Source organism: Homo sapiens, chromosome 4 (genome assembly GCF_000001405.40).
Source record: "Homo sapiens chromosome 4, GRCh38.p14 Primary Assembly".
Lineage (NCBI taxonomy): Eukaryota > Metazoa > Chordata > Mammalia > Primates > Hominidae > Homo > Homo sapiens.
Window position 1 is genome coordinate 132,657,104 of NC_000004.12, and position 22,700 is coordinate 132,679,803.

Sequence of the window (22,700 nt, forward strand, 5' to 3'; positions counted from 1 at the left end):
TTTGGCTAGATATATTATCCTTAGGTGACAGTATATTTATTTTTTTCTTTTCGCCTTTTGAATATGTCATCCCATCCTCTCCTGGCCTATAAGGTTTCTGCTGAGAAATTCATTGTTAGGCTGGTGGGTGTTCCTTTGTAGGTGAGTAGGTACTTTTCTCTTGCTATTTTTAGAATCCTCTCTTTGTCTTTGACTTTACGTACTGTGACTATAATGTGTTGTGAAAACTTCTTTGCATTGTATCTCTTTGGGGATCTTTGAGCCTCCTGTATCTGGGCATGCAATTCTCTTGCTAGATTTGGAAAGCTTTTATCTGTTATTTACTTAAATAGGTTTTCTAACCCTTTCACATTCTCCTCACAGGGACACTGAACGTTTGACTATTTATTTGCTTTAAGTTTTCTCGAAAGTCATAAAGGCTTTGCTCATTCTTTTTTATTCTTTTTTCTATATTTTTGTTTTACTAGATTACTTGAAAAGATCTGTCTTCAAGTTCTAAGTTTCTTTCTTCTGCTTGACCTAGTCTATTGTTAAATTTTTTAAATTTATTTTGTATTTCATTTAGTAAATTCTTCAGTTCTAGAATTTGTTTGGCTTTTTAAAAATTTTCTGTTTCATTAGTAAATCTCCCATTCATATCTAGAAAAACATATGAATTGTTTTATTGATTTCAGTGTATTGTTTTTGAGAAATCTCTTGTATCTGCTGAGCTTCTTTAAAATTGGTATTTTGAATTATTTATCTAGGATTTTGTGAATTTCTTTTAGACTGGGATCTGTTCCTGGAGAATTATTGCTTTCTATTCAAGGTGTTATATTTTCTTACTTTTCACTTTTCCTGGATCCTTACATTGATATCTGTGCATCTGGTGTAACAGTTGCTTCTTCCAATTTTTCGAATTTTCTTTTGTAGGGGAGGATTTTTTTTTTTCTGAATATTTATATATGTTACTGGTTAGGTAGGGTACTTTGGCCTTGAATTTGGATGCATGCAGTAGGGTAGTCCCGGTATGATTTCTTTGGTTATAAACAACACCAGTGGTATCTGTGATTTCTTCAGTGGTTTTTGGTGTGATAATTAGTGGAGGCTGTGGTGAGTTTTAGCTGGGGACCAGAATGCCAAGTGGGCCAGTCTTCAAGCCCCAGTGGTGGTAGGTGTAGTGGGCTGAGCATACCTTGTCTTGAGTTCCAGAGTGGTATGCAATGGCTTCACTGTCAGTGAGCTCAGTTGAGCCAATTCTTGGGCTTCCACGTGGTTTGCTCAGTTGGTAGTGGTGGGTTGGGCATGTGGACATGTTCTTGGGCCCTTGGACAGTGCATGTGATGTGGGCAGTGTCAGCAGCAGTGGTAAAACAACCTGCTAGAACCCTAGCAATCCATGCTGGTGGTGGCAGTGAATATGATAGGCTGAGTGGGCCAGTCCCCTCACCCATAGGTAGCTCATGTAAGTGGTCGTCAGATGTGGTAGTATCACCAGTTTAGGTCAACCCTACCTCAGACCCTGGGAGGAGTGCTAAGGTGCCAATAGTGGTGGACTGGGCTGGGTGATCTCCAGGCCCCGGATGGTACACTCGGAGGACAGGACTGGGTTGGCAGATTGGTCTTCAGGCTCTCTGAAAATAAGCTCTGGCACTGATTGTGATAGGCAGGGTTGGGATTGTCCCCATACCACCAGCAGAATGCTCATGTGGAAGCAGTGGCAGCTGCATTGCAGACCTGCCTCCAAGAAGGGCAGGACCCCGCTCAATGGAGGCAGTGAAGGCAGACAGCTGTGGGGCTTGTGCTTTCCTCACATCATGGTTGCACAACAGTCAGAGCAGCAACAGTGGGACTTGTCCTCAAGGTCCGTGACAGTGCCCAGCCTTCCCTATCCCTACTCAGCTCAGTGGCAACTGTGATAACAACAACCCCAGAACAAAATGCAGACCTTTGTAGGCCTGACTCTAAGAATGGTGCCAGCAGACTGTGGAACTCAGTGTGAATTGTGTTTCTGGAGCAGTGCCTTGGCTTCGCCTCTAGGCAGCACCCTGTGTAAGGTCTCAAGGTCTTTGAAACCAAAGGGCTTTCCTGCAGCTAAGATTTTAGAAGTTTGTGGAAGGAAAGTGGGGCCCCAGTAGTCACTCACTTAACATTTCCTCATGTCTGGGAGCTCCTCTCAGCTCCCAGCAGATCTCAGCCCAGCAGTGCAGGCTACCTTGCTTCTGGCTTCTCTCTTTGCTTTCGGTGCTTTCCCTCACTTCTCTGTTGAATTCTAATGTTCTCTTTTAGATGATCTATTCAAAGTTTAAATATCTGCTTGATATTTTGTTTCCTCTCTATGAAAGAGGCACTTACTAGATGCATCTAGTCAACCATCTTCAGAAATTGGTGTATTTTTATATGCAACTTTTGGCATTTATTTTCTCCTATGCTAAATTACTATTTGGTAAATTTAAAAAATATAAATTCAACATTTGCTGATTTGTAGGATAAAACTTGAAAAAAATGTTAAGACACCAGCTAAAGCACATTAGAACAACTTGGATTTTTAGAGGACTTATTCATAGCAATTTCTGTAAGTTGGTTAATATCCAACTAACATTTTGTGACACATATTTTGTGACACATATCAATTCTTATATCCTTAAAAATGTGTGGAGTTGTTTTGTTTGTTTTTGGATGTGGAGTTTTTAATATCTAGATTTAAGGTAGAGGTCTTTTCTATGACAATTTGGCCAATTTTCATTTTTCTATATGCCTTTCTATTAAATTCTCCTGTTTAACCATTTAAAAGCTGCTATAGTAAGACAGTGATGTCATAAGTCAAGCTCAACAGAAGTACAAATATAAATAGACATATAAATATCCTCAAATAAAATTACACCGCATGCTTTTCAAGGAGTAAAAGGTTTTTTTTTTCCATTTCATTGCATCATCTAACTGAAGAGAGCATGTATAATATGCAAATCACATTTTTGACCCTTTGTTTTAATACTGTTGAACACTTAAATGAGAGACTTTAAACAGTTGTGATAGTTACTTCTTGTCAATTGATGAAGAAAATGATGCGCTTAATAGAGGTATTTTAAAATATCTCTATCTGTGCAACCTTCTATGTTGCACCATGGAGAGATGAAGCAGAATAGAGGAAAGTTACTATAATATAATTTTCAGTGGGCTCAGTGACTCTCTACAATGTAAAAAAGAGTATTATTCAAATCTAGCTTAAATATAAGCAATGAAAGAAGAAAGTGTTGTGTATTTTATAGTGACAAGAAAGTGTTTGGCGCTGGGAATAATTAATTGCCTTTATAAAACAGCAGGAGTTCACTTAGATAAATAAACAGCATTTATATGTACTTGTAAAAAAAGTGAGATAAACTTACCAGCAACTACTAATCTAAGAACAAAGACTATAATAATAGCTGTAAACAATCTTTATTTTCAGTCAAGCTATCACAAAAATGTTTACTTCTCTACAAACAGAGGTAAAGCAGCTTTTGGTTAAATGTTAACTTCTGTGAAAATGGGTACATAAAGTACTTTTCAATACCAAAATGTTTTGCTGTATCTAAATATAAAATAGTAAAAATTTGAAAATACTATTTCTCAGAGTAATGTATTAGTACAAAATGCATATAACATGCTATAAATATCTACATTTGAATAAATCCTTCTGCAAACAGAAAGATTCCTGTGGGTCTGTGTTAAATTGGCAAATAGCTCACTAGTATGTTAAGATTTGGCTTCATTACCTCTTAAACAAAACATTTCGGTATAATTTCAAAATATTTATATAATATGCCAGGATTTAAATAGAATATTAGTTAAGAATAACTTCTAGAATGGATTCAGGAAATGTATTTTTATTCTGCCTTGTTCCAATTTGGAAATGTATATATACTTCCAGGAATGACTCAAATCAGTTCACATTTATCCATTGGCAGTGCAATCAAAAGAAATTATTTGGCGTTAACTTAGTTTCAATTTTTATCAAGTTAATGTTTATCATCTACCATTTTACTTTCCAGATAATAATCCAAATATATATCACTCTCTAGTGATGTCTTAAGCAATTACACATGTACTTTAATTCTTTTGCTTTACAGAAGTTATTTTGCTTTTATATTTCAACTTATAAAAAAATTTTGTCCCAAGAGTTTATACAAATAATCAGGCTTTACATATCAGAGAAAAAAAATAAACAAATATTTTCACCTTTTTCATACTCTACCATTGCCTCTAAATTTTCTTCTAGAATGCAGTATAAAAATCCCAAAATTATTAACCATGAAAAAAAAAAAACAAACAGAGGCAACTGTATCCAAGTATATTGAATGCATCATTCAGATATATTCTACTTTGAAGAGACAGTGCATGGCATTTTTAAAAGTATGAGATGAATAATACTAAAATTGTCTCTTCTACTTTCTTTAAATATAAATCACATGATGATAAATCATAGACTTCTATTGTGTTAGGCATCTGCAGTCTTAGTGTGTGTTAATACCCCTGAGCACAGTGTAGTGCATTTTAACTAATATTTAATAAAATTTATAAGGTGCATAATATATACTAAAATTTATATGGCCTATTAATCATACCAATTATTAACAAAAACATCAACTCAAGCACATAATCCTGAGTAAATATATCTGAGTCAAAATCAAGGTAAAGATAAATTAAAATCCTTGTTTTTCAAGGTGTATTTTGAATAATGGGTGAGTACATCTATCTTTCTGCCTGCTGGCTGGAAGTTTTCATGATTGTCTAGATTCACATTACCAGTTCCCTTTGCTCATTATTCCCCCTTGGCTAATTGTCTCTTTCCTTCATTTGTACTAATTAGGCTACATTTTGTTTGGCACATTAGCTTGAATTGTGTCACTAAGGTAAAACAACTTTAATAAAACCTAGCTTTGCAACATTGCTACTAAGGTCATTATCAATCCGAAATGTACCTTCAAAAATGAATTTAAATAAGGTGTAATCAAATGATGCATAAAGACACATATTTTAATTTTTTGGAAAGTAACCTCATTCTCATATCTTTTCTTTACCTCTTTTAAATATTTTCTATGAAACTTGTGATGTCAATTTTTATTTCATAGATGTGTAAAAGTTTTGTGCTTTTAAAAGTTTAATCATCTTTTCTCACTGTCTTTTATATTTCCTCTTAGATACTATTGGTCCTGTGGTCATCAGAAATTATAACAGAATTGGAGAAGATTGCTGCCATTTGGTGCCCAGATTGCTTCAAAAAATTGTAGGAGACTGCCATCCAGTAAGTTGACTTGTTCTATAATTTTGCAAGCTGATCATGCTGATGAATTTGTGACCATATGTAGAGGCTCCACTGAAAGAGCAAACAGAGAATTTTGCCTCAAGCGAAGAAGTTGAAACTTACTAAGTATGTATCCTTTGCCTAAAGTAGTTGTTTTAATAATTCCAGAGAGTAAGAAAAGATTCCAATTCCATTATATGTTTCTATCAAGATGTTATCCTTGTCCTGAGAGACTTCTGTCCAACTATTGTTGGGAAGTGGCCATTTAGTAAGAACAGATGGTGACAACAAGCACAAGAGAATATGGACAACTTCCAGGTCTCAGAGAAATAGAATCATGATCTTAGCTTTGAAAACAACTTAAATCCTACAAGGGAGGTAAAGCATATATAATAGATCCAGGAACAATGAAAAGACAACCAAAGATCATGACCCAGTTATAGGTTTCTTGCCATCTCCTAATAGGAAAAGTCTCAGAGTTAGGGAGCTGCTGCAAAAAAGCCCAATGATAAGATTCACATCAGAAGCATGTAAAGTGATTTTGTGGATAAAACTATATTAGTAAATTAAGAAAATCATGATGGCACTATTAAAGTGGAATAATTATTACAGTGAAAGTTAGATAAAAATGCACAACTTAGTAACCTTAAAGGGTAGTGTTTTATTAAATGAAAATACATTAATCCATAGCTCATATTTCTTAATGCATAACAAGCAAATAGTCTTCAAAAAATTTGCAAAAAGGAAGAAATTGAATGTAATACGTTTAAAAATATCATTATATAGAAATTAGATAATTAATATTGTGCTTGTCAATTCATAGGTCATTTTGTATCATATGGTGAACAATAAGGTTTTCAAGCTTAGATTCTCTAAATGCCAACAATCAGCAAAAAGCAGGTGATCTGTTTATATTTGTTTGATTTTACTGCCAAACATACAAAGTCAATATCTAGAGGTGGGCGAAACAAAGCACAAGTGCATGATTTACACAGGATCAAAGAAATATAATAGAATAGTATCTTGCTAACCTCACCCTCATAGTGGATGGATCAGATAACTCAATATATATATACATACCTTATTAAATATATATATATTTAATAACCGTGCCCCAGAAATGTAAATGTAATTATAATAATTTTTTTGAAAATTGCTGTAGATCAGTATTCTAATGTTTTTACTCTAAGTTTCATCTTTAATAATATTAATAAGACATAATCTAATTCACTTTTTTCTTTTTTAATTATAATTTAACCTGGAGCCTGAAGTTTGTAAACACCTTCTCAAGCTTGCTAAGTGTCACCCTGTATGATCCATTCTGTCACTCCAATGTGCCAAAAGCTTTTTGAGATTCTAATTCAGTCATCTAAAATACCTATTATTCCAGGTCTCTGCTGGTATCCTAAAAATTGTTTCCAATATTATACAAGTTACTGACTGCATTTGGTGGGAGTACTGTGGAGGTTAAAGAGTCAAATATTATCATAAATTTCTCCCTATTTTGAAATTAACACATAATTTCATACATATTTCCAAGATCACTTTATGTATGACATGAGAATTATGTAAGTTGATATCAGATATTACATTCCAATTGCATAAACTAAAACATAGCAAACATTTTCTGAATTCATTTAGACTCATTCCACTTTGTTAGTGCTGAAGCCTTTCCTCTTGCCTGCAATAGCTTGCGGTGAAAGCCAGCAATCAGCAGATCACACAGCCATCCACCTGTTACCCTGGCATCAGGGAATGTGCATTGAGGTAATTTAGCTTCTCTTAGGCTCAAAGCCTTTTTCTGCTACACAGCATAGCCAGGGCACATGGTCAGGTAATTCCCAACTCTAACCTCTACAGTGTGAGGTTACATGGTGTAACGGTGAGCACTCTGGACTCTGAATACACCAACTGTAACCTCTGCTTCAAGGCGCTAAATGCCTAGAATGGATCTGAAAAGTATAATTTTCTCCCCACACTGCCATCTTAGGACCAACCAAGGGAGTCCATGGCCAGTTGTCCAAACATGTAGTTGACTATTATGAGGTGCTAATCCTGCTGACAGGCTGCCACCTTGCTTCATCCTATCACATTCCTCTTGTCTGCCTCACAAAAGAATCAAATACAGAAAAACTGACAGTTGAAAGAGATCAGGACAGGAGTATAAGATAGTAATTTTATGTGAGAGAAAAAGTTGCAGGAGTTTGCTGGTAAAAAGAAACCAAATAATTGTAGAGAGGTCATGTGAGAAGGTTGTCGAAAATTTTCCCTTAAATCTTCACAGTGTCCAGGGGATATACACACCTCGTTGTTGTTTTTAAAATATCTTCTGAGATTATTTTTTGCTTTTTGGTTTTTGTTGTTTTTGGTGGCCTAGTCTTTTCCAATTTCACGAGTAACTGGAAGGCTGAAACATCATGGAGTTGTTTGAAATAATCATATCTTGGCTGTTGTTTGAAGGGATCTTTCACACACAATATACCATTGAAGGTCATATTTCATTTCCTCATATAATCTTATAACATGTGAAATAATAATTTAAAAACCTGGCTCATTAGCAGGCACTAGGAATGGGGGTGATTAATATTTATCTTTTCTTTGGTACCATTATTATTACAGACTCATGCTGACAGACTTTTGATGCTACAAACTTCTATAGGAACATCAGTTAAGGTACTCAGATTTCACATAGTTCCTTCTATTTCCTCACACTCAATATTAAATATAAGCATCTTTATTTATGAAGGCAATTGAACCAAAGCTGACATGGAGATTTTATATCTCTATCATTCATATACTCTGCAATACTCTATGCACTTATTTAAAACTAAACAAAAGATGAAGATATGGTCATATGGCCATTGGTTGAAGGAAAGTATTATTCTGATGTGAAACAATGTTGCACAAATAGTTACTGAAATAAATTCTATATAGGAGGGGTATGTACAAGGGGCTAGGGAAGTATATTGATGAGTAGTTAATGAAATATGGGGGTATGGGGAAGAAAATGCACATATTTGGGGGGAAGATAATATCTAAAATATGGCTTAAAAGTTGATTAGTGCATAGATAGATTTTGGAAGGTTAGGGAACACATATATTATTCATGTTCTTTTGAAATAACATATCATTACATCATTGAACCAGCTCTTTTCTACAGCTATTTTTGATCAAACTATTCTAAAAGCATGTAAAAATGTTTCGAAGGATATTCATATATTCTGAAAACTAAATGGTTTTTAAACATTAGAAAAAATAAGCAAATTAGACTTGTTTTCCAGAAAGAAAAATCCAAGAGACAATGATACAAGTTTCCGGGAGTCTTCTGCCTTTATTCTTTCAATTTTTTGAAACAATATAGAGTGAAAACTTCCATCTTCCAGCTCTCCTCTTAGAAGAATGGGATTTGGCCAGATATGATGAGCTGGATTCTAGCAATTTTCCTCAAATGTCTGACTCCTAATCTAGGTAAAATTACAAATAATATATTTGCAGATATAGTAAAGATGACCAATTAGGAGACTTTAAAATTGAGACATTACCTTGGATTATCCAAGTAGGTACAACATATTCACATAATCCCAAAAGCAGCAGAAAAAAGTGGGAGGGAAGAAGCTTAAGAAGTTGGGCAAATTTAAAGCATGAGAATGAATCATCAGCATTCATTGCTTTCAAGATGGAGAAAGAACTACAGCTTATCTCCAGAAGCTGGGAAGGATCCCTGGCCAATCAGGAAAAAAAATCAGGAACTCAGTCCAACAGTCCCATTTAACTAAGTTCTGCCCAAACCTCAGCGAGCTTGGAAGTACATTCCTCCATTCAGCCTGCAAAAAGGAACACAGCCTGCTAAAACCTTGATTTTAAGCTTATGCATCTCTGTCAGAGAGATAAGTGGGCTACACTGTGCTCAGACTTCTAATCCACAAAAACGGTGAGAAATCCAGTAGGTGCTACTTTACATCATTAAATTTGTGACAATTTGTTAAAGCAGCAATAGAAAGGTAATCCACCGACATTAGCAAACTCTTCCCCTCCTCTACATTCTCCCACATTTTTTGACTTAATTATTTCCTATTTATTTTCAGAATTAGGTTCTAGTAAAAGTGAGGAGCCACTGTCTTAGACACCTAAGAGTGAGAGAACAGTCAACAGCATGAGATGTATTACCTTGCAATTTCTTTTTTCTGTCTCCTTGTAGCCATGACAATTACTTTTTTTTTTGAGGGCAAATAAAGTTAAAGTTTAATATGTAATTTTGTTGTGAGAATATTAGTTCCAACTTACTGTGTTCTGAAAAATGATAATAAGTTATCATTCAAAAAGAAAGTGTTAATATTCTCCCCAAGATATTAAAGGCTTTCCAGCAAGGGTCCTAAACTTTTCTATTTGTTTTTTGGATGGAAAAAGTGGCCAATGTAAGAGCTAGGTTTAAAGAATATAGACTTGAGGAATAATTTTAGAGTGTTTTTTTGACAACGTGTGGGTAAGATACAAGTACTTGGAACAAACAAAAATATGACTAAAGCAACCAAAAGAATAACCAAAAGTTTCATAAATTCAAAAAGAACAAAACATTTCAAGGAGATGTGAAAACAGTCCTAAATGTGGCTCCTGAATTTTAACATAAGGAATTGGATTTGATAAACAGGAGCACATTAGTTTTCTTAATTAAATTAAATTTTGCTGGTAAAAATCAGATGTAAGTGTACTGAGAAGTGAGTACAAAAAGTGTGTTATTGAGAAGTTTATATGATAAATGGACAAGTGATAGAAGTTAATAGATGAAGTGGATTAATACATAATGGAAGAAATTATTTAGAATGAAAAACACTTTTGCTTGTCCATAACTGAGAAGAATTCCTCAATGAAAGAGATATTTTAAAGATGGAGAAAAATAGAAATAAAAGCTAAAATAATAAGGGTAAGTGATTGTAACAATGTAATCAGTCTCTTGGAGTTTAAGAGAATAGCTGCCACAACTGGTAGTAAGGTAGTATGGGCATGGGGGAGAAATTAAAGGCCTGGTGGTCAACAGGTGAGCCTCACAGGGCTGCTGAGGGAATGCAGATTAGATGAGAACATGGAGGGGCACAAGCAAGATGCCTGTGAGCCTGCAGGTAATAGTAGGGCACCAACATGGGTGTGAGGATGTCCTTCAGAAGATTTTCCATTTTCTCAACTTAAGCATTGATTTCTATTCCTCTAAGCCCAAGAGGTTGGATTTTGAAAGAGAAACAGGACTTGAGCACCATTGCTTAGTATTGGTACATGCTCTAAGGGCATGCCAAGTTCTTACTCTCATACTAAGTTTATCTCTGTTCATGAGGAAATTGCCTTTCAAATCTTCAATGTCTTTAAGATTTGTTAAAAGCTATTTCAGTGGAAATGTTGACCAGTTCAACTTTCAACTCCTATTACTGAAGACCAGTACAGATACAAGTTCAATTTTGACTCTTTGGCCGGGCATGGTGGCTCACACCTGTAATTCCAGCACTTTGGAAGGCTGAGGCAGGCGGACCATGAGGTCAGGAGATCGAGACCATCCTGGCTAACATGGTGAAACCCTGTCTCTACTAAAAATACAAAAAATTAGCCGGGCATGGTGGCAGGCACCTGTAGTCTCAGCTACTTGGGAGGCTGAGGCAGGAGAATGGCGTGAACCCAGGAGGTGGAGCTTGCAGTGAGCAGAGATCGTGCCACTGCACTCCAGCCTGGGGGACAGAGTGAGACTCTGTCTCAAAAAAAAAAAAAAAAAAAGGAAGAAATTTGACTCTTTATAGCTCTTTGTTCATTCTGGGCTACTATAACAAAATCCCACAGACTGAGTAACTTATAAATACTAGAAATTTCTTTCTCACAGTTCTAGAGGCTGGGAAGTCCAAGATCAGGGCACTGGCAGGTTCTTTGCTGAGGGCCCAGTCTTGCTTTCAAGACTGTTGCTGTATCCTCACATGGTGGAAGGGGGGAAAAAGGGATAAAATCTGTCTCCTCTCATGGCTTAAGAGATGGAAAGGCAAAAAGCCTACAGTGTTCTTTTCAACCTCCTGTATAAGGTCATGCATCTCATTCAAGATGGCTCCTCTCTTATAATTTAATTGTCTCCTAAAAGCACTACCCCTTAATATTATTATGTTGGTGATTAAGCTTTGACATTAAGACCATAGCAATCCCTAAGACTTATATATTCAAATTTGCAGAAAATTCCTTTGCACCTTTACACTCAGATTCACATCATTTTAGTAACAGCATACTGTCAAATAAATAGTATAAGTTTTCTTACATTATACTTTGTAACATGTATATGTATGGCATGACCAAAGCTCTTTCTGGCCATTAGAAATTGTAGAATGATACAATTTTTTTTTTTCTTTTTTTTTTTGCCTAAAGTTCCCAATAGTTTTTCTCAGTCAAGTATTAATATTCATTGTTTGGGCAACAGTGAACTTCACAATTATTTCTCTCTTTCTGCTAAATGGAATAATCAATAAGGAAAACTAAGAACTCGTTTGTTTAAAATAAAAAGTATTAAAAACCTATAAATAATCTCTTAATATGATTTATCTTTCCATTTTTGCTTTTTCAGGCTATGGACTTGAGTCTATAGATCTTCATCTTGGCTTTGCAATTTGATTCTACTTTCTCTTAGAGTTGCCTTTTTGAATATTCCTGCTGCAACCCAAAATTTATCTCTCTGTTTCTTACTTTGTGTTGTTAACTTTACAAACACACTTAATTGCTTCCTTGCTGATGGGTTTGTGCCAAGGACATACCTGACTAATTAATCCATTTATAATATGTCAAAAATAAACAAAAACTCATTTTCCAGTGCCATCCAGATTGCTAATTTTAATTAATTAACTTAACTCTTAACTTATTTAATTTTAAATTAGTTTATTTAATTTTTTCAGTATTATCCATATTATTAATTTTCAACATCCATCTTCATATGGTTAAGAGGTTTTTTCCTAGTTCTAATATTTAATAGCTTTGACTTTAGCAAGTTACTTAGCATTTTTTGTGCCTTTTTCTTCATTTGTAATAGAATGACATTAATACCTATCTCACAATGTTCTTTTCAAAATCAAATACTTAATTCCTACAAATTGAAGGGAGTAATTGCTGTACACAGTAAACATTGAAATGCTAACTGTTGTGATTATGATTTTAGTGTGAATTTACTAGAAACAATCTTATTTTATTATCTATTGAATACATGCCAAATAATATAACTTTTTAAATTTGTACTCCTCATCCATTATATTACTATCTACATTAATTCTATGATTAAAAATACATGCTCCTTATTTTCTTCAAAATACCTTACTAAATGATAGTATATCCTAGGCTTATTAGTTATTAAATACGAATGAATAATTTCAGCTCAGTTCTGGTAAAGATGGTGAACTGCTAGTTTTCCCTTATTTTTATTTTAGAACTTTTATTGGCTTATTAAATACCACAAATATTTTTCTAGATATTGATCTTAACAAAAATCTTTTTAAAATCTAGGTTAAAGCAGATGGTCCATGTAGGAAGAACACATTGGTTAACTCAATTTCATGAAGTAGTATGAATCTTTGTATACAGAATCCTCAGTAGAGTCAGTTTTGCTGACCAGGTTGACAAAGCTTATGACACATCAAAGAAATATGGGCATAAATAATGTTGTAATTTTGTAAGCACAAACTAATCTTGAAAGCAGTATTTTTCTTCGACCAAAAACTTTCTAAAAAATGATTTAAAACAACAAAAAATAATTAGGGGTTTTATTTTTCAAAAGCAATTATTGTTTGTAAAGAAATCCCTGCTTATTAAGTTAATCTAAAACATTATTATAGGAGTTTTACTCTACTGGTTTTAAAGAAAGCTTTAGTAATTTAATAAACAATTTGAAACAACAAGCACAAGTTACAGTTTATCAATGGTACCGTATTTGTATAAGCTGTACAACAAACTGCAGTCTTACTGAGAGTTTTATAATTTAATAATTGTGGTAAGAAACAACTTAAAAGAAATTCAACATTTATCATTCTCTAGCCTTAGCATTTACAAGTATGTAAAATAAAATCCACTGGCAGCTATTTCTTTATCTATGTAATACTACAAAAGAGAAATGCTTATGGGGAAATTTTGGTATGGTATGGTTAATTTTCAAAATGTTAAAAAAATTCAACCTTTTTAAATTATAAAATTTAAATTATATCTTTTAAAACATATTGTCCACAGGGTTAAGATTTGTAGTGCAGTACAAATATTTCATACTTTCAACAAATTACTAAACAATTAAACATTTTGAAATGGGAAAGCACAACTGCATTCATTAAATGACAGATAATTTAACAGTACGACCATTAAAAACATCCAGAAATCATGAGAAAACTTGCACTTACTAAAAACAAAACAACTACAGGGAACTGAAACATATTTTGCAAATATCAATCAAACTTGTAAGAGTTCAAAACAATTCTATTTCCAAGATATCTCAGAGTTACATTGAGGTATTCAGAGAAGTATTTTAAATGTCTCAAACAGAAAAGAGATCACTTGCTACTTTAAAGTAACTGCAACAATTTTACAACATTGTGAAAAATTGCAATTTTAAAATAATTATTTTCTTTAAAAAAAGCAACTTACCACAGAAAGTTATTGAGTTACAGAAACAAATTTCAAAATAAATTCTGCATCTGTAAAATTTTACTTCATCCTCTGATTTTATGGCAACAAACAAAAAAATCATAGCTTCTAAATCTCAACATTTAATTTTCACATCACCTTGCTGAAATGGAAACAAGTTACAGCTTTCCATCAGTAGAGGTGTTATAAATGGGGAGACAGCAATTCAAAATAAAGAAACAACTAAACTTTTCATATTATTCTGTATCATCAAAAATTTTAACTTCAGGAGGTAAACAAAATAGTTAGTTTTTGGTTTTGCTGCAATTGCTTTTAGGGACTTAGCCAAAACTGCTCTGCCAAGGCCTATGTCGAGAAAAGTATTTCCTAAGTTTTCTTGTAGGGCTTCTATAGTTTGAGGTCTTATATTTAAATCTTTAATCCATCTTGAGTTAATTTTTGCATGTGGTGAAAGGAAAGGGTCTAGTTGCAGCAACATAGATGTATCTGCAAGCCATGATACTAAGTGAATTAATGCCGGAACAAAAAACCAAATATCACATGTTCTCACTTTATAAGTGGGAGTAAACACTGAGTACACATGGACATAAACAGGGGAACAATGGACACTATGGACTACTAGAGGGGGAAGGGAGGGGAGTATGGTTTGAAAAACTACCGATTGAGTACTATCCTCACTAGCTGGGTGTAATATACGTACATAATAATCCTACGCAAGTACCCCCTGTATCTAAAATAAAAGTCGAAACTTTTTTAAAAAGTGGAATTTTATTAATATTAGTAACAAGTGACTGTTGTATGCAATTTCTCATTCAACATCTAGATTTATGTAAAGCAATTTTCCTATCAGTTCAATTAGTAATCATGTCAAATTTTTATTTTAAGTTTTCTTCACATCTTATCCAAGGCCACCCATATTTAATTGTGTAAAGCATGTAAAAGCTAAACTAAGCAATGTGAAGTATATTAGTTAACCGTTAGGTAACTGTGAGTAATTTAAAATAATTGTTGTTTATAATAAAGTCTATCATATACATTTTGCCAATAAAGCTGAACTTTTTATTACATTTGAATTGTATACATGTATTATTATATTCCAGATCAAAACTAATGATCAGAATGTTTTGTTGGTTTTTGTAAAAATTTAACATAGAAAGTGCTTTTTTAAAGGCTCATTATTGGAAGTCATTCCACATTTGAAAATACCATATTTCTGTGTGTGTGTGTGTGTGTGTGTGTGTGTGTGTGTACATGTATTGTAGCCTAGAAAACCAGACTTAAATCAAAATAGGGTTATAGTAAAAAATGCTTATGAAAAGTGGAAAGTAGTTTAATTGACAAGAACACAGACTTGTATATGAATATGTATTAAATAAAAGCAGAGGAAATTATTTTTATCTCTAAAAATTTTAAATTACATTTTTGAATACTTTCATAATATAAAATTAATTCCTTCACAAAAATATCTGAAAATTAAAACTTCATTCTTTTTTTCTATTAATGGAAATAATTTGACTATGAAATCAGATTCCCAAATGTTGAATTTATTCATGGTTTCTTATCTCATAAACTGTTCAATGAAATAAAAGAATACTTAGTCACGAGTATTGTTTAATCTTCCTATCTCATGTTAAATTAAAAAAAAAATTCTCCATTAACTTAATTATTTTAACCCAATTCTATTTCCCAGTTTCCCTCTACTGAATCACTTCTTTTTGCACTACTTACTGCTTCTCCACAATTTTATGATTTGTTTTCCCTTGAAAAAATCAGTTTAGCATTGTTGTCAACAGTGTAAAATATGACAGTTTATACTTCTTAAAACACATGAAGAATCAAAATGTATATTTGTAAAATTAGTTATGAAAAAAGAAAGGAAAATATATTCCTATGTATCTTGTCTACTTCATCCACCTATCAACCTCTTTCATAAATGCAATTTCTCAATATTGTTCTATTTATTACTGCCTGGGAATACCAAGGCCACAGTTTACCTTGATTGCTGTAGGAAAATAACATGTTTTCTAGAATTCCACAGCCACAGAAAAATACTGCCTAAGAAAAAAATGGGGATTGTGTTTTTAAATTAAATCTGGCTTAAAATTAAAGAAAATATATTGTTTCTTGAAATTACTATCAATTAAAAATACAAATAGATATACCAAGAAGATAAATCATATGGATACAAATTTGTTTATATTAATTAACAAAAAGTATCAAAATATTAAGGCATAAATTACTATGTTCATAGTTATAGAACTATGTTCGTAGTTATAGAAGTATCATAACTCACTGTGGTACTGTAGAAGAAAGGGGTTTTAGAGAATGACTACTAGAAAAAGGGAGTTATGAATAATAAACTACAGTCTTCTGATCAAATACAGAAAGATGAACAGCACAAATCAACCATATCATTTTTGCTTGCACACATTTCTATAAAGTGCACTAATTAGTGGTTAAATTTGTAGTTAGTTTATAGATTACAAAATATAAAGATAGAATTTATAAAGATAAGTAAACAAATAATGAAAATAAATCTATGGCGTTACGGTGAAGGCAGAAAACAGATCTAAATAAACTCAGAAACACATTCCTCACTCACATGATTTTGTATTATAAAAATGTTGAGTTTTTGTCAAATTAATATAATACTATATTTGCACAACATTTTAAGAAGTTATGTTAAAAACTGGTCCCAATAATTTTATAGTTCATACAAAAGAACATTGCAATTTCTAAGAAATATAGCATAAAAAAATGAAGAAAATGTTCAATGTTCATTAACATATACTATGAGAGAACCCTAATAAATATCAACAATTATAATATGTTGATATTCAATTAAATTTAAATTGAATTGAATTATGCTGCTTTATTTTAAAATGTTTTAGAATAATTGAGTATATATCGGTTATAAAACAGAACATAATTATACAATCTCTAAAGTAAATTTCAAATTGATTAGCAAGTTAAATGTAAAACAAACTGACAAGCATTTTATTTCTTCAAAAATAAGTATGGGAATTATATGAAAACAAGAGGACTGGGTTACATACCGATTTTAAATGAATGATAAATTTTCTGTAAAGCAAAGACTATGTAAATGAAAACAAAAATAACTCTAAGATAGGAGAAAATATGCAAAACATGTAAGTCTGAAGTTGGATTGCTATGCCAATAAAAATTACATGCCAGCATATAGTATCATGTTGAATTTAAAAGAGTAAGTTCTAGGATAGATTGCATGGTTTATTTTATGAATTAATTTATTATTTTTGTGATACAATATATGAAATTCTCATTTAAGAATGATGATAAAAATTGAAGTATACACAGCTAACTTACAGCTTTACTTACAATTATATAAATTAGCATTATGCATGACACATGGTAAATGTTCAATAAATGTTAACCTTATTACTTGTAAGTATCAGTACTGTATAGACTATTTAGAAGTCATTACACTAAGAAAGAAAACTTGGAATCGTGAGTAAAGGGCATATAAGCAATACAGAAAAAAGGCCACAGTATTCACAACATTGTCATTAATTAAATAGACAATATTAAAGGGTGAAATTTCTACAACATTTTTGGATTCTGGATGTACCTCTTTATTATATGATTTCCAAAGACTTTTACTAGGCAATCATGCTCATCCAACTCTACTTTATATAATTAAATATGTCACCTTAGGAGGTATATTTAAAAATTTTTATTGTAGTATGAACTGATAAAAGAGGAGACATAAAATAAAATAAACGGGTGTGGGGGAGAGAGAAAAACAAAACCCAAAAACAACTTGAATGGATACCATTAGAGAAATGGTTAGAATAATTACATTATATTCATATATGACTCATTATATAATGTTTGGCCACGTGACTTTGGCAAAAGGAATTTGACAAATGTTACCTATACCTTGTCTAAGGAAAGCTTTATATTCAGTTGTTTGATTTCACTCAGCACCTTTCAATCTGCCTTTTGCTATGTGTACAACACATTTTAGAGGCTTATCCTTCAGCCTTGATCATGGAATGAGAACGTACATGGAACAGACAAGCAAGTGACTAGCAGCCTGAAGCAGAGCTGCAGTTGACTGTAGCTTTAGTATAAAATGAGTCAGAAATATAACATTTTGTTGATTTAATACACAGAGCTTCAGTAGTTATTTGTTATTACTGCAAAAGCTAATTAATAATTCTGCAATAAAATATTACAAGGCTATTAAAATAATTATATATGGCTATGTATTAACACGCAAATAAGCCAGATGTACTGGTGCACATGTGTTTATAATATGCAACTTACAGAGTATTTTCTAATTTTAACTTGTTCTCTTAAAAACTGTTAAATGTATTTGTATGTATACATGTGTTATATTTGTGTAAGTATAAATAAATATATGTAAAGTAAAAAAAAAACAACTTTAATTTTGGTTGCCATGAATAAAGGGAAAGGAGATGTCATGGTGAGGGTTGGTCAGAAAGACTGGATTAGGGTGATACTATTAATTTTTCAATAAAGTATTTTATCAAACTAGCCTCTGTTTCTTCCATGATGAATTATAATAATTAAAATAATGTCAAAGTAAAATGCAATGAACATTCAACATAAAGATATTTTATCCCATTTTATGTCTTTAAAAAACATTGAAAATATTATAAAAAGTGCAAAAAAATCATAAATGCTAACTTCAACTAAAATCGAAATGGCTCTTACTAACTAAAATAATCTAAAACTCAGAAATTTTAAAGCAAATCTTTACTGAAAGATGGGAAATGATTTAGGCTCTCTCAAACTTTTGTTTTCAAGTGAATGATGGAGGGAACAGAAAAAATATTCTGTTCCCATAGACGTGCAAAACAACACATGGCAGAACTGCAGGAATAAAGCTAGAAAACCTTCTATCATTACTGTCTAACAAATCACTCTGTGTATACTGAGATTTCTTTATTTGAGTGAAGTATAGAAAGAAGAGATAACATCACTTACATTACAATCCTGAGGATTCAGACTAAAGGGTGTTTTTTTGTTTGTTTTTTTTTTTCTTGAACTTTACTGATCCAATGAAAAGGGGAAAATGAGGGAAGATGGCCCATCTGGAATGAAGAATATAATGGATGGGGTCGTTAATAAGCAGGATAACAAATTAAAACTGATGAAGTTTCAACTTGCATCTGGTCTCCTCCGAACAAATACACGTTAATTATTTTGAAAGGCACTTACATATTTAACTTGTAAACAACAAGAGAAAACCTAGCATATTTACTTAATTTTGAGGTGAAGTTAAGAATTCAAGACATATTTGTTCTTGAACAGATGGGAAAACATCCAACAGCACATTTGAGGTCAAAAAACTCTGGAGTCAGTTCTACAAAGTTTTGAGGGAGAACAAATGGGACACATGACATTGTTGTCCAGTCAAATTGTCATCCAAATAAAAAGTAAGAAAGCGACTAATAGAAGTGTTAAATTTTGTAAGAATTTAGGAAATATATAGGCCTTGAATCCAGGTTAAGAATAGTAATATAATTACTGGCCGAATTCAGTGGCTCACGCCTGCAATTCCAAGACCTTGGGAGGCCGAGGCAGGCGGATCACCTGAGCTCAGGAGTTTGAAACCAGTCTGGCCAACATGGCGAAACCCCATCACTACTAAAAATGCAAATATTAGCTAGGCATATGGTGTGCACCTGTAATTCCAGCTACTCAGGGGACTGAGGCAGGAGAATCGCTTGAACCCAGGAGGTGGAGATTGCGGTGAGCCGAGATTGCACCACTGCACTCCTAGCCTGGGTGACAGAGCAACACTTCATCTTAAAATAATAAATATTAATCACAACAAAAAATATGGAAATTGAGAACCTTAATATATTAACTGCTACTGGCATTTTATCCATTTAAATACTAGGAATAGACAACAATTTTGGGGCCTGGACATATAATTATTTTGACCATAAAAGTAATAAAATTCTGATCTGAAAGATGTAAAATAAATGTAAGCATGCTTTCTGTACATATTTAGCAGCAATATAATAATAGAAATAATAACAATGGCAATGATAATTAAAACAACAAAATACAATCCTAGTCTTACAAATATTTTCATAATCCATTTTTATACCTGGGAAATACTTATAACAAACTAATAGTTATTACTCACTGGAAATTCAAATTTAATTATGTATCCTAATTTTCTTTGGCAGTCTTATTGGTGGGGATGCATTTGCTGGAGAACAAAACAATGTTAATATAAAATCTGATACTGTACTAAATTGTATATCATTTGGGGATAAAAAAGCTGTTACAAGAATATTTTTAGGACAATTGGAAAAATGTGGACATGGAATGGGTATTGGAAACTGAAAAAACATAGCCATGAAAAATGATTATTGTTAACTAAAAAATGCCTGGAGATATTATGTGAAGTACAATATCAATTTGTAAAATATATATGTTTATACAAACATAGGAAAAGATCCTAAAGAATACACTTTTAATGGTAGTTTTCTCTGAGGGCCAAGAAAATGTACTTAATCATTTTATTTTTGTGCTTTCCCATCTTTTCTCTGTATCTAATATATATGTATATATATGTACTTATTTGTTATATTAATTTTTGTTCTCTGTCTCTGAAATATTGCATAATAAAAAATGGGGCTATATGGAAACTCTTTGTCCTTTCTACTCAATTTTGCTGTGAACTTAAAACTTCTCTAAATATAAATTTTATTAGAAACACACAAACTATTCTTACTGTCATTTCATATCTTCATAATAATTCATTTAAAAAATGCATGAATTAATTTTGTTTAAGTTAGAGATTCTGGATTACTCATTTTCTCCTTGATCTCCTAAATACATACTTCCAGCCTACAAGTATTTTATCCTAATATAATATATATTTTTTGCTTGCCAATTTCTGTGCAATATATCATACTATGTTATAAAAAACTATGTAAAATGAAATTTAGTACATTTAAAATTTTTCCTTGGACTATAAACTTCTAACCAAGCATCTTCAGGATTAAATCATTATTGTGAATATTAATAAAAGCTAATTAAAATATAAATGTATTAGAGAGACTGATTAAAGTAATAAACACAAATAAAATTATATGGGAAATGCATCAAAAATGGCCTTTATAGGAATGCTCTCTTTCAATTATTTTGTGTTCATGTACAAATAGTATTTATTACTAGAATGATGTTAATCTGTAAACATTTACGAACAAAATGTATGTGGCCTCTAGTAAGTGTGAAACCTACAGAAAGTATTTAATGTTTGATATGTTAGTTGCCATAGAGGAAAAGCATATTCTGTTAGAACTATTCTAGTAAGTATGTAAGTAGAATAAATAAATAAAGAGAGAAGCTGATGAGTGAAAGCTATTTTCAATGTCTTCCCCTTGTGTTGTTTCAGGATTATTCCTCAGAAGCTATAAAACCTTTTGTAATATTGGAAGTTGACAAGCCAAGCGCATTAAATGAAAACTGTCAAAAATCCTGCTCCCTTATGCTATTATGTGTGTACTCAGAATATCCAAACAGAGGTCAAACTATCTCATCTGTAGTGCCATGCTTCCCTTTTAACAATTATATGCGTAACACATGGAAAGAATTCAAGTCACACAGAAGTATACGTTGGCTTGAGAGAACAGGCTTCTCAAACATCAAAATTTAAAATAGTCCCTTTGTTTTAAGGTTTTACCTCTTGATAAATGTATCAAATTGAGTCTCAAGAAGAGATAGAGATAAGGTTTTATTTATTAAGGTGGAAATAAAGTTATTCTTGAGGGCCTTCTCAAGCAGAGCAAGTGAGAAAAGAGTAAGTACAAATAGAAGAGAAGATTTAAAATTGATTCCTTAAAGATCCTCATGCTTTGAGAAATTCCTTGGAAGGTATTTTCATAAACCAGGGGTTCTCACACAATTGCTAGGTCCCACAATAGACCATCTGCAAGCTGAGGAGCAAGGAAACCCGTCCGAGTCCCAAAGCTGAAGAATTTGCAGTCTGATGTTCAAGGGCAGGAAGCATTCATCACAGGAGAAAGATGTAGGCTGAGAGCCTAAGCTGGTCTAGGCTCTTCATCTTTTTCTGCCTGCTTTTATATTCTGGCCACACTGGTAGCTGATTAGATGGTGCCCACTCAGATTAAGGGTGGGTCTGCCTTTGCCAGACCACTGACTCAAATATTAATCTCCTTTGGCAACACCCTCACAGATACACGCAGGATTAATACTTTGTATCCTTCAACTCAATCAAGTTGACACTCAGTATTAATCATCACAGAGATACTATAAGAACAGAATGAGAATCACACTAAAATGGTAGATGTCTCAGTAAAATGATAGTTAATAGATCAACCAGGGACTTCATAATGTATAGAATGGAACATCAGACCAAAAAGAGGCTGAGAGATTTGAGAATATGTAATTGTAGCAAAAGACTATAGGTCCAGGAATTACTGAAACTTTGGGAAGTTTAGCAGTTTGGAGTTGTGACTGTGGGTGTGGTAGGTCGATCCAAGAGCAGAAGTGATAAGCAGACATAGAAAATGATAAGCCCTGGTATGGAATTGGTCATTCATACAGATCAGGTCTGTGCTTGTGGGTGGGCAGAAACACTTGATCCATGTTGCAAGGCCTTTAATAAGTGACATTGTTATATCTATTCAAAGATATTATTATTAGTAGATGACAAAATAGTTTCAAATATTTTTAAGAAGTAGAGAGTAGCACAGCTAAATGACATGATCTTAACATGATTGCTTTGCTTGTTTGTTTTATGTTTAAAGAAGAGC

At 32.7% G+C, this 22,700-nt stretch overlaps 1 long non-coding RNA gene across 1 annotated transcript in view, besides 1 other annotated feature; it reads left to right on the forward strand.

Moving 5' to 3' along the window:
* Window positions 1–21,400, forward strand: part of LINC01256 (long intergenic non-protein coding RNA 1256) — an 87,415-nt gene extending 66,015 nt beyond the window's left edge. The window contains exons 3-4 of the long non-coding RNA NR_126401.1: window positions 5,159–5,262; window positions 21,320–21,400. This is a non-coding gene — a long non-coding RNA (long intergenic non-protein coding RNA 1256). The remainder of the gene's footprint in view (window positions 1–5,158; window positions 5,263–21,319) is intronic.
* Window positions 1,214–1,714: an enhancer, noted in NCBI's record as "H3K27ac hESC enhancer chr4:133579472-133579972 (GRCh37/hg19 assembly coordinates)". NCBI's record gives its function as "activates a minimal SCP1, AML or CMV promoter by ChIP-STARR-seq in primed H9 embryonic stem cells {active_cell/tissue: H9 hESC(primed)}" and the evidence as "EXISTENCE:reporter gene assay evidence [ECO:0000049][PMID:30033119]".
* Window positions 21,401–22,700: the final 1,300 nt, after the last annotated feature.